Raw genomic sequence first — 2,977 nt, forward strand, 5'->3', positions numbered from 1 at the left:
TGACAGCAGCATTGATGATTTGAAAAATAGTCCCACATATACGTGCAAGTTGTATTATTTATTCAGCCTTCGGTCGATGCTTGTAGGGCATATGGATGTACAGATCTCTTGCAAGAGCTCCAGCCCACAAGCCAGGCACTGCTGGTCTGATCCACTAACTCAGGCATTCAATCAAACTCTCTCTTGCATTTTTCGCCAGTTGGTTCACACATGTGAGTTTCCTCTCCTAACTCCACCACTCCACCCTTAAATCCCAACGCCTGGGATCATGTCGGCTTCTCTCCTGCACACAAGGTTGTAAGTATCAAACTAAATTCTGGCCATAAAGTTGCTTCAAGTGAGGAGTCTCATTCTACATTGAGGAAACTGAGGCCGCAGAGGAGGAAGGATTTCTTTAGGAGCAGAGATGGAATTGTAGGTCTCCTATCTCTTAGCCTTTCCTTTCCACCTTAATCCACTGCCTTGTGGGCAGAATTTCACAGAATGTACAGGATATGGGGGGAGTGTGACCTTGAGAACGGCATATTCAGCATCTTCACTGAATTACTGCTGCCCTGGCTTCTTGTTGGGACTCCAGGGAGGTTTGGGGCCTGAATCTGGCTGCTCACCTCCCTTCCTTCCAGGTTTCCTGCCAAGGGAATCACAGCATAAGGATAAAATCCAAAAGGGAAACACAGTAGTAGCTCAATCTCTGATGAGTGCCCAGTATCTCCCTGAAGCAGGACTTCTCTGATAAGCTGGGCTGGCCCCAGAGACCCTTTCCTGGAAGCCCAAGGGATGTTTCCTGTCCCCAAGTCCCTAACATCCACGTCTCCACCTAGCTATAGGCTGGAAATGTCCCATCCACCTACCCACAGGCAAACAGAGAAAGACATGGCTGCTTTTGTGTCTGGGAGGTGTGACACAGCACAGTAAGCGAGAGTGGGCAGGAAGGTGGTCGTGCCTGCCTGGGAAGGCTGAGTCCCAGGAAGTGAGAGGGAAAGGAAGGTGGTATCTGAGTGAGCCCACTCTCAGAAAGCCTGGTCAAGGGAGCATTCTGCTCTGACTAGAGCAACGCGTTTCTCAAGGACCAGATAGGAGGAAGATGAGGAGGAGGTTCATGATCATTCCCCCTGCCATGCCCAAGGTTGGAGAGAAGCTAGGAGGACTTCCCTCCCTTTGTGAGTCAAGCTGAGCTGTAGAGGTAAGCATCCTGGCTCTTCTCCAGAATATTGAAAGATTTAATGTTTACTATTCTGACCATAATCTGTAGTTACTTTGTTAAAACTGAGATAGACTGATGTCTTTGTGAGCCACTGTACTGTTTGTATGTTATAATTACACACTAAATTGTGCTATAGAAAGTCTACATATTTATTCCTCATTTCCATTTTTCTGCCCGAAGTTTTAGATTTAAAAACTAATTTTCTTCTCTCACCCTCCCTCCATCTCTCCCTTCCTTCCTTCTATCGACCTGCAACTTTTAGAGACCTGCTAGGGGTCAGATTGTTTGCTTACGCCCAGGGCTTTTGTAGTTCAGAGGCTCCCACATTCAGAGTGAGACAGCTGGACTGAGGCAGTGAGAAGGAGAGGGCCCTGGGGGAAGAGCAAAGGTACAGTTGTATAGGAATGGTCAGCCATGAGACACACCCTTGACTCCACGTGTCCTCATTCCTGCCACTAAAGAATAAAAATCCCAGTCAGTTACAACGGCAGCAATCGAAATCCAGCTTCTGATGTGAGATCTCACCAGGGCCCCCAGAGGTTCAACCAAAGGGAGGAGGCACAGGGCAAAGCCCAGGCAGAGATTCCTCACGCTCCTCCCCCGACTGCCATTAAGAAGATTCTTTTATAAGAAGATCAATCTAACCTTCAGAAATTGAGGGAAAGATAGACCATCCAGTGGCACATTGTGTGATTCAGGTTCTTAGTCAAAAGGAGCTTAGAAGCCTGGGAGCCTCCCCAGAAGAGGTCAGAGGTGATCTGTGAGATGAATATGAGTCCTGAACAAGCTGAGGATAAACCACGAGGAGAAGAGAGAGTGCTTCGGGGAGGGGAGAATGCAGACAAAGTTTGGGAGGTAGGAAGGAGCCCAGCCTGCTCTGGAGATGGAGAGGAGCCAGGCCTGGGTAGAAGGCAGGTGTGTAAGCCCCGAGGAGAGAGTGATGGATAGGCTGGTGAGGAAACAGCAGATTTCAGGGGCCTGCATCAGATGCATTTGTAGGACACTCTCTTGGAATTTTTCTGGAGAGGTAGGGAATCTGGGTCTGCGTGTATTTTTAGCCTGTCTTTTCTGCCCTCTTCTGAGCAATGATTCTAAGAGCTTTCAGCCTGAGGTCATCTGTTTTCCTAGTGCCTGTTCCAGGGAAGCAGATGCCAGCACCACTACCTCACACAGAGGCTGCTGCCGCCCCAGCGCTGACCCCAGGAGAGCGACGTGTCCACTGCACCACGGGAGCAGGCTGTAGGAGGCTGCCCCATGGGAGGCTCCACAGTCCCGAGCTCTGCCAGAATGTCACCCTTCTGTTCTGGCATGACCCTAGAGGAGAGTTTCTTTGAGGTCCATGGGAAGCCCCAGATGCCTGTCCCCATTTCCTTCAGGGCCAATATGGGCACCCCTCAGGCTGGAAGGCTGTGGAAGGACGCGGGTTGTGGGATCCAGCCCTCAGGATTGCAAATGTCTGCCTCAACCTTGTTTCCCGGGAATTCTGCCCTTCCTGTCTGTCTTGTTACCTTCCAGCTCCCTGCCTCTCCATCGCCATTTCCTACCTCTCTGCCAGCAAAGCAGGGGCAGGTTATTTTCTAAGACTCTGCTTTCTCCATTTAGGAATCTATAGTGCACACAACGGCTCCTAGAGGAGAGTTCATTTGCTCCCTCGCTACAACCCAGTCTAAAGCTTCTTTTCTGTGCTCTAGGTTCATGTTTTCAAGTCCTCAGTGGACATGACTACTGGAGAATCATGACCCAAAACAATTCACAGTCTTCCCTCCAGAATGT

At 49.7% G+C, this 2,977-nt stretch overlaps 1 annotated feature.

Annotated features, from left to right (window-relative positions):
* Nucleotides 1,155-2,354: an enhancer, noted in NCBI's record as "CDK7 strongly-dependent group 2 enhancer chr2:72057331-72058530 (GRCh37/hg19 assembly coordinates)". NCBI's record gives its function as "activates an origin of replication core promoter dependent on BRD2, BRD4, P300/CBP, MED14 and CDK7 cofactors, with strong dependence on CDK7, by STARR-seq in HCT116 cells {active_cell/tissue: HCT116}" and the evidence as "EXISTENCE:reporter gene assay evidence [ECO:0000049][PMID:35650434]".

This window comes from Homo sapiens, chromosome 2 (assembly GCF_000001405.40).
Source record: "Homo sapiens chromosome 2, GRCh38.p14 Primary Assembly".
Taxonomy (NCBI): Eukaryota; Metazoa; Chordata; class Mammalia; order Primates; family Hominidae; genus Homo; species Homo sapiens.